This window comes from Homo sapiens, chromosome 7, assembly GCF_000001405.40.
Source record: "Homo sapiens chromosome 7, GRCh38.p14 Primary Assembly".
NCBI lineage: Eukaryota > Metazoa > Chordata > Mammalia > Primates > Hominidae > Homo > Homo sapiens.
Genome location: NC_000007.14, coordinates 158,344,704 through 158,357,500, shown reverse-complemented (window position 1 = coordinate 158,357,500; position 12,797 = coordinate 158,344,704). Strand labels below are relative to the sequence as shown.

At 51.1% G+C, this 12,797-nt stretch overlaps 1 protein-coding gene across 13 annotated transcripts in view, besides 2 other annotated features; it reads left to right on the top strand.

Moving 5' to 3' along the window:
* Nucleotides 1-12,797, top strand: part of PTPRN2 (protein tyrosine phosphatase receptor type N2) — a 1,048,768-nt gene that overhangs the window by 230,323 nt on the left and 805,648 nt on the right. The gene's annotated exons all lie outside the window — the stretch shown is intronic.
* Nucleotides 4,852-5,444: an enhancer, noted in NCBI's record as "H3K27ac-H3K4me1 hESC enhancer chr7:158144749-158145341 (GRCh37/hg19 assembly coordinates)". NCBI's record gives its function as "activates a minimal SCP1, AML or CMV promoter by ChIP-STARR-seq in naive H9 embryonic stem cells {active_cell/tissue: H9 hESC(naive)}" and the evidence as "EXISTENCE:reporter gene assay evidence [ECO:0000049][PMID:30033119]".
* Nucleotides 6,634-7,228: an enhancer, noted in NCBI's record as "H3K4me1 hESC enhancer chr7:158142965-158143559 (GRCh37/hg19 assembly coordinates)". NCBI's record gives its function as "activates a minimal SCP1, AML or CMV promoter by ChIP-STARR-seq in naive H9 embryonic stem cells {active_cell/tissue: H9 hESC(naive)}" and the evidence as "EXISTENCE:reporter gene assay evidence [ECO:0000049][PMID:30033119]".

The following is a 12,797-nucleotide window of genomic DNA, read 5'->3' as shown; positions in this document are numbered from 1 at the left end:
CCCCTGGCCTTGTCCGGGGTCTGGCCTTGGGGTGAGCATAGCCTGGCGTCTACCGAGCAAGCCAGGAAGCCACCATTTGTGTCTGTGATGGAGGCACCTCCTGTCACCTCCACAGAAAGAGTCAAAACCACCCCTGAAATCACTGAGGTGCTGCCACAGGGCGTCAACGACAGCCTGGCCCTCGCCTTTGGGTGGTGCCGCTGGGCCAGGGAACCCACAGACCTGCCGCAGAGGCCTGCAAGCCGGGCACCCACTGCCGGGCGTCGTTTTGTCTCCTTTCTCTTTTATGTAATGTGGATGCTTTCCCCCAGTAAACTCTACCTGCAAACAAGCCCCGTGTTCACATCATTCGTCCGGTTCCTCTTCCGTCCTCAAATCTTGGTTTCTATTTTCTGGTTGTTTGCACAGGACCATGGAATTTCGGAATTGGAGATGTTCCTGCCATTGGGTTCCACTCTGTTACTTGCAGAAAAACTAACTCTGCAGTCCAGAGAGGCCTGGTAGCCAGACGGAGGCCGCTCTCCCGGCCAGCACAGAGCCCACCTGACCCTGTGCTGGGGCCCAGGATCTTCCCAGCCACAGTTTCGATGATGATCGTGATGGGTTTTACTTGGTCCCCAGAAGCTTTCTCCCAGTCAGTCCATTTCTCCTGATTTCCCCATAGAAAAGCTAAGAGAAAATTTATCAGAAATTATTTCTACTTTTTTTTTTTTAGCTCTTTTCACCTTTTGCTTTGTTATGTTATGAATTGTGACCTATCTGGCCCCTCAAATAAAATGTGGGCTCCTTGCAGCACAGGCTCTGTCTGGCTGATCTTTGTATTTTCTTTACGCACAGCGCTCAGCATGGTGCCTGGATGGTGGTGCCTGCTCAGCATCAGCCTGTTTATTTAAGAGGTGTGCATGGGGTTCTTATCTGCCGGGTGGGAAGCCCTGTGCTCCACAGATTGCTGGCAGTGTTGGGTGAGGACTTCACCACTGTTGTTTTTGATTATGTTCAACTTTCCTTGTCCAAAAAAACCCAAGGAAGCAACAAAAAGATACTCTATGAGTTGATGAATTTGAAGTGGGAATGTGATAGGGAAGGAAAAAGAAGCAAATGTTCCCACAAGGTCAACAGAGTTCCTGCAACTAAGCCTTAAGGTTGCCTTTGAGCTCCCAGAATTCAGGATGAAAGGGGAAAAAGATAAGTTGAGTGGGGCTTTATAAATAAAAAATGCATGTAGTAGGTTAGACAAAGGGAAATGAGTGACTTGTTGGTTATTTTAGATTCCCGAGGAAATTTTTGTCAACAGTGATGACCAGCTTGTATTGTCTTTATTTTCAGAAATGGCAGTCTTTTACATTGGATGTCCTTTATCCCAACTGTGAAAACTTTAATCATTTACTTAAATACCATAAAGACAGCCAAGAAGACATTTTCCATTGATTTATATGTGTGTGAAAACTCATTGTGAAAAAACTTGTAATTTTCCATAATAATAAAAAAGCTTTGATTGAGGGCTCAATCACTGTGGGCCCATGACGGCTGCTAGGCTGGGTGGTGGCGCCTGGAACCACATTCTGTTTCGAGGGCAGATAAGCAGAGAGGCAGCAGGGTCATCATCAGCCTTTGGCAAGAACAGCCTTCCCGCATCCCCACGTGGAGGATTCGCATCTGCCTGTGAGCGAGGTCTCACCCCATCATCTTGGGGTTCACGCTCACGCTCTTCCCCTGCGTTCCCTGGATGCTTCCTTCAGGCTGGCTCCTGTGCACGCAGATTCTCCCTGTTGCCATCTGGTGGTGAGTACTGGGTTTTGGATGCAGCCAGTGTAGTTCTGCAGAGTCCAGCAAATGAGGGGACTCTGTCCTGGCTCATAAGGACATCCCTCTGCACTGCTGCGGGCTTCTCCACTGCGTGCTTCTGGGGCCCAGCCTGCCTGACTGCTCCTGCCTCTCCTGCCGTTGTTGCTGGTGGCCAGCCCATTGCAGGGCTGCACTGCAGTTGCATTTCCTCAGTTCTCTGTTGACACAAACGGACAGATGACACAGTGTGAGCAGCTGGCAGGAGAGTGAGAGAGAGGCAGGCAATGTTCACAGCTCACAAAAGCTAAATTACAGACACTTATGCTGCAGCACCCTAGCTATCATCATGCAAACACAGAACATTTGATTGGAAAGGATCCTAGAAAATACCGAATTCATTGGTCTCAATTTAGGAAATGGAAGCACAGAGAAGTGAAGTGATTTGCCCAAGTTTGCACAGCAGGCTGGTGGCAAGGTGGAATGAGAATCTGCCCTCTTAGTGCCCCATTCGATGTATTTTTGTTCTTTCTGAATGAAGAGATCTCTTCAGCATTTATTGTAAGGTGGGTTTGGTGGTGATGAATTCTCTCAGCTTTTGTTCGTCTGGGAAAGAATTTATCTCTTCTTTGTATTTGAAGGGTAGCTTTGCTGGATACAGTATTCTTGGGTGACAGATTTTTTTTTTTTTTCCTTTCAAGACTCCGAAAGTATCATCCCATTTTCTCCTGGTCTGTATGTTTTCCATTGAGATGTCTGTTGACAAACAAATTGGAGCTCCTTTAGATGTTATTTGCTTCCTTTGGGGTCTTCTCTTTGCCCTTGAGCTTTGACAGTTTAATTATTAAAAGCCTGAGGTGGTCATATTTGGGTTGAATCTGGTGTTCTCTGACTTTCCCGAATCTGGTTATCTATACCTTTCTCAAGTTTCAGAAAGTTTTCTGTTACTGTTTCTTTGAGTAAGCTTGGTACCTCTTGTTCTCACTCAGCTCCCTCTTGAACACCAGTAATTCTTGGATTTGGTGTTTTGAGGTAATTTTCTCTATCTTGTAGGTTGTCTTTCATTCTTTGTTCTTTTTCCTCCTCTGATTGTGTATTTGAGCTCACTGATTCTTTCCTCTGCTTAAGCCACTCTGCTGTTGGGAGCTTGTCATGAATTTCCTCATTTCGCTAAATGTATTTTTGTTTCAAGACTTCTGTCTGATTTTTAAAAATTATTTCAATCTGTTGTTAACTTTCTGAATTGATTTCCTGGTGTTATCTTGGGGATCACCGAGTTTCCTTAGGGCTGCCATTTTGATTTCTTGATGAGAGCTCACAAATCGCCACTTTGTTGGGCCAGTCACTGGTTCTTGGCTTTGTCCGTTTGGGGAGGCCATGGTCCCGTCTGCTGCTTTCTGGTTTGTTGATGTGTGTCTGTGTCTTGGCACTGAACGGTTATTTATTTATCTCTTCTCTGTCTGGGTGTTTTGGTTTTTCTGGGGTATGTTTGCTTAAAGATTCTTTGTGATTTACCTGTGGAGTGTTTTCTTGCTAGGTTGCAGCCTCCTTTTTGGCACTAGATGGCGCCTTAAGCCCAGGTTCAACTCAGCTCTGGTCACTGATGAAAGTGCTGCCTGTCCCAAAGCAGATGTCCCAAAGGGGATGTCCTGATAACGTGGGAAGGCTGGGAGGGGACCTGGGAGCACAGGTCCTGCAGCGTGGGGCTGCGAGTGGCCACTCTGATTGAGTGCCTCCTTTGGCCGAGTTGCAGAGCAGAGTTTCCAGGGCTGGGGACAGTAGCCCCACCCCCACCTTTGTCTCTGGCCATCCTCAGGGCTGTTTCTCCCTTCAGGCACTCAGGATGCTCCCCATGGGTTGAGGCAGGGAGAGGTCTCCTGCCAGGGCACCCAAGAGCAGGGCAAGCTGTTGTTATCTCACCTTTCTAAGTGTAGAAACTGTGTCAAGGGAAAATCTTTTGTGTACTGGATGCCAGGCAGGTTATGGGGAGGGGCCTTGCAGATGTGGGGGTCTGGTTCTCCTGCTGTCTGTCTGTTCGGGGTTTTTCTGTTCCTGGTGGCCCCAGGACCTGACTCATCCTCACCTCTGGGTTCTCAGATGTTGCTGGTGACCATCTCAGCATCTCAGCACTGCATGTTTGCTTTCAGGTTTCTGCTGGGGTGGTGAGACAGCTTGCTCCTGTCCTGCCGTTTGGAACCAGAAACCCCATTTCAATTGCTGTTTTCTCATTGTCCTTTAATAGAACTCAGAAGACAGCAGATGGTTTTAGGTGTGTATGACAAGTGTGGTCTTAGGCAAATGTAAAGTAAGCTTTCAGCCATAACTTCAACATTGTGCTTAGCAAGTGAATGTCCACTCATAGTTTTAGGACTTGTTTACATGAGTCCTGGATTTTATAAAGCCCCGAGTGATGTGTCATCTTTTGACTCTGACCTTAACTTCTATTGTGTTGTTTTCTATTAAGGAAAACAGTGGGATGCTAGAGTGCCCCATCAGGGCCAAGAGTGAGGACCACATCTGCATCGTGGTATTGGATGATGTGGTGTGAGGCAGGGGGTGCTCCCAGTGGGCAGCACGGCTGTGGAGGACCTCAGTTTTCTTATTTGTAAAATGAAGGGTCCTGAGTGAAATACATGCTGCTGTTCTCTTCAACTTCTGATAAAAATCTTGATTATTCTAAATACTAACAGGGTGTGATCTGTTGGCCTGCTGTTAGGAGACCCGGAATAGGAGCGAGTGTCTGGCCTATTGGCCCAGGGTGGCCTGAATGTAACTGGGTGGCCTGGTGCAGGCCCTGGTGCGGCGAAAGCAGCTGCCATGTTCCAGAAACAGAGTAACAGGCAGAGAGAGCCAGGCAGCTGCAGCTCAGAAAGGTTAATGTCTCCATTCGAAAAATCTATCTCTGCTCTCACCTGAAACATTTAGATTGAAGGGATTGAAAGCTATATTTGGTAATTCTAAGAGAGAGTTTTCTTTGCAGGGAAGGGCTAAGAGCTTTGAGGCTCAGGTGTGATTCGTTTTTGTCAATCAATATTGTACTCAGGATTACCAATACCAGCCTACCCCAATTACGCCTCTCTGAAATGTGTGGGGCCCAGAGCCTTCTATTCCTAGCTGCACGATGCTTCTGCTGCCTGACCTCACCTTCAGGGGGCAATAAGAAGTTTAATCCAGCCACGAATCGGCTGCAGCACGGGAGGGGCCTGACCCACCTCAGGGTCCAGGCATCATCACAGGAGGGTGAAGCAGCCATTCTAATGCACTTCTGGAAAATGCCTATCGAAGCTGATCCTTGGGTCCTGCTGTGTGCTTGTGTAAGTTTGCTCCAGAGTAGCTGGCCAGGGAGGGGAGTGGTCAGGAGGGGAGCGGACAGGAGGGGAGCGGTCAGGAGGGTAGCTGGCAGGGAGGGGAGCAGTCAAGAGGGGAGCAGACAGGAGGGGAGTGGACAGGAGGGGAGCAGTCAGGAGGGGAGCGGACAGGAGGGGAGCGGACAGGAGGGGAGCAGTCAGGAGGGGAGCAGTCAGGAGGGGAGCGGACAGGAGGGGAGCGGTCAGGAGGGGAGCAGTCAGGAGGGGAGCGGACAGGAGGGGAGCGGACAGGAGGGGAGCGGTCAGGAGGGGAGCGGACAGGAGGGGAGCGGACAGGAGGGGAGCGGACAGGAGGGGAGCGGTCAGGAGGGGAGCGGACAGGAGGGGAGCGGTCAGGAGGGGAGCGGACAGGAGGGGAGCGGACAGGAGGGGAGCGGTCAGGAGGGGAGCGGACAGGAGGGGAGCGGTCAGGAGGGGAGCGGACAGGAGGGGAGCGGACAGGAGGGGAGCGGACAGGAGGCGAGCAGACAGGAGGGGAGCTGGGCTGGGAGTGGGTGGTCAGAAAGGTGCACTTTCTTCTCAGTACTTCCTGTTCTGCTACCTTTGTAGTAACCAGCTCTTCTGATGGCCAGAGTTCAAGCCCCCCTGAATGAAAATGATATCTGTCACTCAGAAGGCTCCTCCCGTGGGGCCGTGACTGGCTGTGGACTGGCCCGGCTGCCTGCATGCCAGGGCAGGTGTTCACATGGAGTTGTTGAGTTGCACTCTCTTGCCCTTGAGAAGGATGAGGCGTTAATAAGGTCATTCCTTCTGCCATTTCACTCGTAGGTAACCATGTTTCGTGTAGTAAGAAACGCGGGGCTAAAGTGCCCGTAATGTTTTAGCATTCTTTAAAAGGCCACTTACTTTCACAAATGGGAGTTTTGAGTGACTGTGTCGGCTGCTGTGTGAGCAACGAAGGAAAGCAGGTACAGTGTACGAGTCGCCCCAGACAGCTGCAGGCCTGCAGGGAGCCCTGGGCTTAGACTGTGCCCAACAATTAGGAACCCAAAAGGGACTCAGGGATGGGGCCCAACTGAGGGTGGCTCATGGGGTGCAGTAGGAGGGAGCTGGGGAATAGTGTGCAGTGGCCAATGGTGCCAGCGGGTGAGTCCCCCTCCTGGACCCTCCTTCTGAAGGGGCAGAACCCCTGGGGGTGGGTGGAGGTGGTAGCACGAGTTCCTCCTGCACCTCACCCGTGCCCTCGAGGTGGCGAGAGATGCCGTCGGTGAGGTCCTTCTGCCTCCCGCATAACAGTTTGATGCTGACACATCAACACAGCATTCCCCAAAGCAGCTTTTCATTTCGTAATGGGATAACTGTGGGCTCTGGAAGAGGCTCAGGTGTGCCGTTGTTCTCTGCAGGGATTTCCAGGCAGTTGACGGAACTGGCACCTGAATGGGCCACAGGTGTGCCGGGTGGGATTTGGAAACGCTGGGGGAGAGAATGAGCTTTGGTAAACAGCAGACAAATTGATTTGTATTCCAACATTTTTTTCCCTTTTGGAAAATCAGGGTTTTTTCTGCCTTTGGCATTTTGTTGATAGCCTAGAATCCAGCTACTTGCTCCTTCTGGGTCTGTTTCCTCATCTGAACTGTGAGGCTGGGTGAGGTGAGGCGAGGCACTGGCCTGGCCGGTGATGAGCGACTGATCCACTGGGCGTGGATCCAGTGGCCGGCAGGAGGCAGGGGCTCTCCTGTCCCTAGGGCACCTTAGGCAGCAGCTCTGGCACCTTCCTTCCTGCACAGCCTGGCTCACAGGCAGCCCTGAGATCCAATGGGGTGATGGGGACAAATGTGTTATGGGACTCTAAGTCACTATTTGTCTCCAGCTCCCTCACCCCCAGGAGTTTCAAAATCATTGAAGACAAAATTGACAGGCAGATTCTGGGTGCAGACGGCAGTCAGACACCAGAAGCAGGCCCGCAGTCAGCATCTTCTGAGCAGCCTCTCCATCCTTCTGAGGTTTCATTCCAACCTCCCTGCACTTCCTGGGTGAAGCAGGTACCCTGTACATGTTTCCTGGGAACACGGCAACCAGCCAGTCCTGCCCCTGCTTGGGAAAGAGCCGCCTGTTTCAGTGGAGTTTGTTCCTGCCAGAGGGAGCGGAGATGGAAGTGCCGGCTGATGTTGAGCATCTCTCCTCGGGCAGCAACTCTTAGGGCCTCAGGGTCAATGCTCAATGGAGCCTCCATCTGTGGGGCTTTTGAGTAACAATCAGGTGAACATGCCAGGGCCTTCTTTTTACCCATGTCTTGGTACAGATCCCATACATCTTGGTGCAGCCATTCTGTTTGAGGATGTTTTAGGGGAGACACAGGATGCTGCAATCCACTTTACTGAGCACCTTTTGCCGGAAGGAATCCGTGCTGTATCCTGTGACCTAGTCTGCAAAGGGGAACACGTGAGCGCTAGTAACGCCCTTGTTCTTGGACATCAGGAAGGGGGTGGGCCTCATGTGGCCCGGGGGGCCCTCAGGGACCACCCAGGGAGCACAGTGACGTGGGCCATCCTCAGCACTGCCCTCAGGGGCCACCCAGGGGTGCAGTGATGTGGGCCACCCTCAGCACTGCCCTCAGGGACCACCCAGGGGTGCAGTGACGTGGGCCACCCTCAGCACTGCCCTCAGGGACCACCCAGGGAGCACAGTGACGTGGGCCATCCTCAGCACTGCCCTCAGGGGCCACCCAGGGGTGCAGTGACGTGGGCCACCCTCAGCACTGCCCTCAGGGACCACCCAGGGGTGCAGTGACGTGGGCCACCCTCAGCACTGCCCTCAGGGACCACCCAGGGGTGCAGTGACGTGGGCCACCCTCAGCACTGCCCTCAGGGACCACCCAGGGGTGCAGTGACGTGGGCCACCCTCAGCACTGCCCTCAGGGACCACCCAGGGGTGCAGTGACGTGGGCCACCCTCAGCACTGCCCTCAGGGACCACCCAGGGGTGCAGTGACGTGGGCCACCCTCAGCACTGCCCTCAGGGACCACCCAGGGGTGCAGTGACGTGGGCCACCCTCAGCAGTGCCCTCAGGGACCACCCAGGGGTGCAGTGATGTGGGCCACCCTCAGCACTGCCCTCAGGGACCACCCAGGGGTGCAGTGACGTGGGCCACCCTCAGCACTGCCCTCAGGGACCACCCAGGGAGCACAGTGACGTGGGCCATCCTCAGCACTGCCCTCAGGGGCCACCCAGGGGTGCAGTGACGTGGGCCACCCTCAGCACTGCCCTCAGGGACCACCCAGGGGTGCAGTGACGTGGGCCACCCTCAGCACTGCCCTCAGGGACCACCCAGGGGTGCAGTGACGTGGGCCACCCTCAGCACTGCCCTCAGGGACCACCCAGGGGTGCAGTGACGTGGGCCACCCTCAGCACTGCCCTCAGGGACCACCCAGGGGTGCAGTGACGTGGGCCACCCTCAGCACTGCCCTCAGGGACCACCCAGGGGTGCAGTGACGTGGGCCACCCTCAGCAGTGCCCTCAGGGACCACCCAGGGGTGCAGTGACGTGGGCCACCCTCAGCACTGCCTCCTCCTGAGGGAGGGTAATGATGGAATCTGTCCAGGAGGCTCCAGGATGGGGATGGAATGAGTGAGTGGGGATTAGCATCCCAGAACTGTTCACCTTGTTGGGGCAGGAGACACAGTGACGGTCTCTTTGAGAAGTCCTGTGCTGTGGTGGTTAGGATTCGGGCCTGTGGCCATCACCATACCTCACAACTGAGCATGAAAACTCTGTGAGGGAGGGAAGGACCTCAGGTGTTGGGGGCCTGGCCCAGCTCAGCACTCAGGACTGCAAGTGACAGAAGCCAACACAGACTCACGTGGGGCATACTGGACTGTGAATGGGGACCCCAGGGTGGCTCTGGGGCTGTGAATGGGGACCCCAGGGTGGCTCTGGGGCTGTGAATGGGGACCCCAGGGTGGCTCTGGGGCTGTGAATGGGGACCCCAGGGTGGCTCTGGGGCTGTGAATGGGGACCCCAGGGTGGCTCTGGGGCTGTGAATGGGGACCCCAGGGTGGCTCTGGGGCTGTGAATGGGGACCCCAGGGTGGCTCTGGGGCTGTGAATGGGGAACCCAGGGTGGCTCTGGGGCTGTGAATGGCGAACCCAGGGTGGCTCTGGCACAGTGGCCGGGATCTGCAGCATCTCCCCGCTGCTTTTGTCTCCAGTTTCTCTCTCTTTGTGTGGTGTTGGGATGGCTGCTTGTCCACCTGTTCACTCCTGTTCACAGGGCTTAGCAACCAATCTGCATGAAAAGAGAGAATCTTCCACCAGAGAAAAGCATGTAGGAGGGGGCCGTGGTTTGGAATGGGTCAGGGCCTGCACCTGACCAGTGACTGGGCAGGGAATGAGATGTTCTTGTGGCTCCTGGGCCGCAAGGGAGCAAGTTTAGGGATTGACAGCCATCCTAGGATACCACAACAGCAGAGGGGGCACCCCCAGGAATGCAAGGCCCTTGACAAGCAAATGCCACAACCTCCATGGTTCACTCAAGAAGGTGAGTGCTGCCACTAAAAAAATGTGTGACTGCAATAGATAGGAATTAATTTAACCCAGACGGTGAGACCTGTACACTGAAAACTATGAGATGGTGAAAGAAATGGAAGACAAGGCAAATAAATAGAAGGTATCCCATGTTCATTGATTGAAAGAATTAATATTGTTAAAATGTCCGTACTACCTAGAGCAATCTATAGTTTCAGTGCAACCCCTATCAAAATTCCAATGGCATTTTTTTTACAGAAATAGAAAAGCAATCCTAAAATTCATATGGAACCACATAAAACCCTGAATAGCCAAGGCAATCAGGAGCCAAAGGAACAAAGCTGGATGCATCACACCACCTGATTTCAAAATATACTATGAAACTATAATAACCAAAACAACGTGGTACTGGCAACAACAAAACAAAATAGACACATCAACTAATGGAACAGAATAGAGAGCCAGGAAATGAATCCATGCATTTATGCTCAATTCATTTTCAGCAAAAGTGGCAAGAACACATAATGGGAAAAGGACAGTGTCTTCAATAAATGGTGCCAGAAAAACTGGATATCCACATGCAGAAGAATGAAATTAGAACTTATCTCTCACCACATACAAAAACTCAAAAGGGATTAAAGACTTAAATTTAAGACCTGAAACTGTAAAACTACTAGAAGAAATCACAGGGCAAAATGACATAACATTATCCTGGGCAACAATTTTTTTTATTTGATCCCCAAAGCACAGGCAACAAAATCAAAAATAAACAAATGGGATTATATCAAATACAAAGCTCTACACAGCAAACAAAACAGTTAGCAGAGTGCACAGACAACCTAAGGATGGGGAGAAAATATTTGCAAGCTGTACATCCAATAAGGGCTTAATATCCAAAATATATAATAAGCTCAAACAACTCAATAGCATGAAAATGAAAAACCCAATTAAAAGACAGGTAAAGAATCTGAGTAGATATTTCTCAAAAGAAGACATAAAAATGGCCAACATGTATGTGAAAAGATGCTCAACTGTGCTAATCATTAGGGAAATGCAAATCAAAACCACAATGGGATATCATATCACACCTGTTAGAATGGCTATTATTAAAAAGACAGCAAGTGTTGGTGAGGAAGTGGTGAAAAGGGAAATCTTGTGCACTATTGGGAATCTAAATCGGTACAGTCATTATGGAGAACTGTATGGAGGCCTCTCAAACAACAAACTACCATATCATCTAGCAATCCCACTATGAGGTATTTATCCAAAGGAAGTAAAATCAGCATGTTGAAGAGAGATCTGCACCCTCATGTTTACTGCAGCACTGTCCACAATGGCCATGACATAGAATCAACCTAAATGTCCATCGACAGATGGATGGATAAAGACACAGTGGGATACTATTCAGTCTTAAAAAGGAAGGAATTCTGTGATTTCCAGCATCATGGATGGAATTGGAAAGCATTACGCTGAGTGAAATAAGCCAGGCACAGAAAGACAAATACCGCATGATCTTACTCATATGTGGAACTGAAAACAATTGAACTCACAGTAGCAGAGAGTAGAACTGAGGTCGCCAGAGGCCAGGGGTGGAGGGAATGGGGAGATAACAGGTGGAGGGCACAAATCTCAGGGGCAATTTTTTGAGTTCGATTGTACAGTGTGATGAAGATAACAGTAGACGGTTATACATCTCAAAACTGCTGAGAGAACAAATTCCAAATGTTTTTGCCACAAAAATGTTAAGTATTTGAAGTGATGGATATGTTAACTAGCTTGATTTAATTATTCCACATTGTATTCATAAATCATAGCATTGCCTTGTACCCATTGATATGGTTTGGCTCTGTGTCCCCACCCACATCTCACCTTGAGTTGTAATCCCCAGCGTTGGGGAGGGACCTGGTGGGAGGTGACTGGATCATGCGGGTGGTTTCCACCACGCTGTTCTCGTGATAGTGAGGGAGTTCTCATGAGAGCTGATGGTTTAAAAGTGTAGCACTCCCCCCACCCCCACTCCTTCTGCCGCCTCAGGAAGAAGGTGCTTGCTTCTCCTTCGCCTTTTGCCATGACTAGTTTCTTGAGGCCTCCCCAGCCCTGTGGAACTGTGAGTCAATTAAATCTCTTTTCTTCAAAAATTACTTAGTCTTGGGTAGTTCTTTATAGCTGTGTGAAAATGGACACCCATATATATATACAATTGTAAATTATAAAATGTGTGTGACCAAGTCATTTTGCTTCCTCAGCCTCAGTTTCCCCACCTGGGATGAGTGGACGGCATTGGAAAGCTCTGGGTGACCACTGCTGCCACACCAGCTTTGGCCCCAGCTTGTAGCTTCAGGAGGTTTTTCCACGGGGGTGGAAGACCCTGTCTCCTTCTACCTGGGGCTTCCAAAACCGGTGGCCTTTGTCTTTGTTCTTTCTCTTGCTCCACCCTGCTCAAAAATACAAGTCCTCCTGAGCCTCCGAAGCTTACTCTTCATAAAACCCTCTGTGGCCTCCTATAAGAACACGCTGTCTCCAGACAAAGCTCTGGTTACCAGAGTAGCCCACAAAAAACCCAAATTAAGACAAAACCCAAAGTAAGACAAAAAACCTGTCTTCCCGTTGGCCAGGAGACAGGCAGTTAGGTTTTCTCTCCTTGTTAACGTCTAGTCACTCAGATGACTTCTTTAGTTTCAAGGCTCTGCTGGGAGGGGTGTTTATGCCATCATAGTTGAGCAGACATAGGCCTAGACCATCAGTCACGTGGACTGTGGGGGTCCTGCCAGGACTGCTCCCAGGCAGCAGGGTCCACCCTCAGAGATGGAGCACTGGGGCCCAACATTTTATCCTCCAGAATTTCTCCCGCCCACTGCGGTCCCAGGTGTCCGCACCATACTTTCCCTCCATGGCCTAACTGAGGCCTTGGGTCCAAGCTGTCTTCTGCCTAAAGCTCTGTTTTGGGTATCGTCCATCAGCTTCTGGGTTCTCACCTCACAGGGCTGACAGGACATGTGCAAACCAACAGGGAAGCAGTGATTTCCAGGGAAACAGATGCACAAGCTGGTGCCTGATTTCTCATCAGAGGAGTGCCAGGGTCCCCTGGGCCCCTCTCCTAAACCCACCGATGAAAGGTGCTGGGGTCTGTTCCTGCACATTGCAAATCGTGCACCGTCAGAGCGTCATTTCTGTCAGGACTGAGC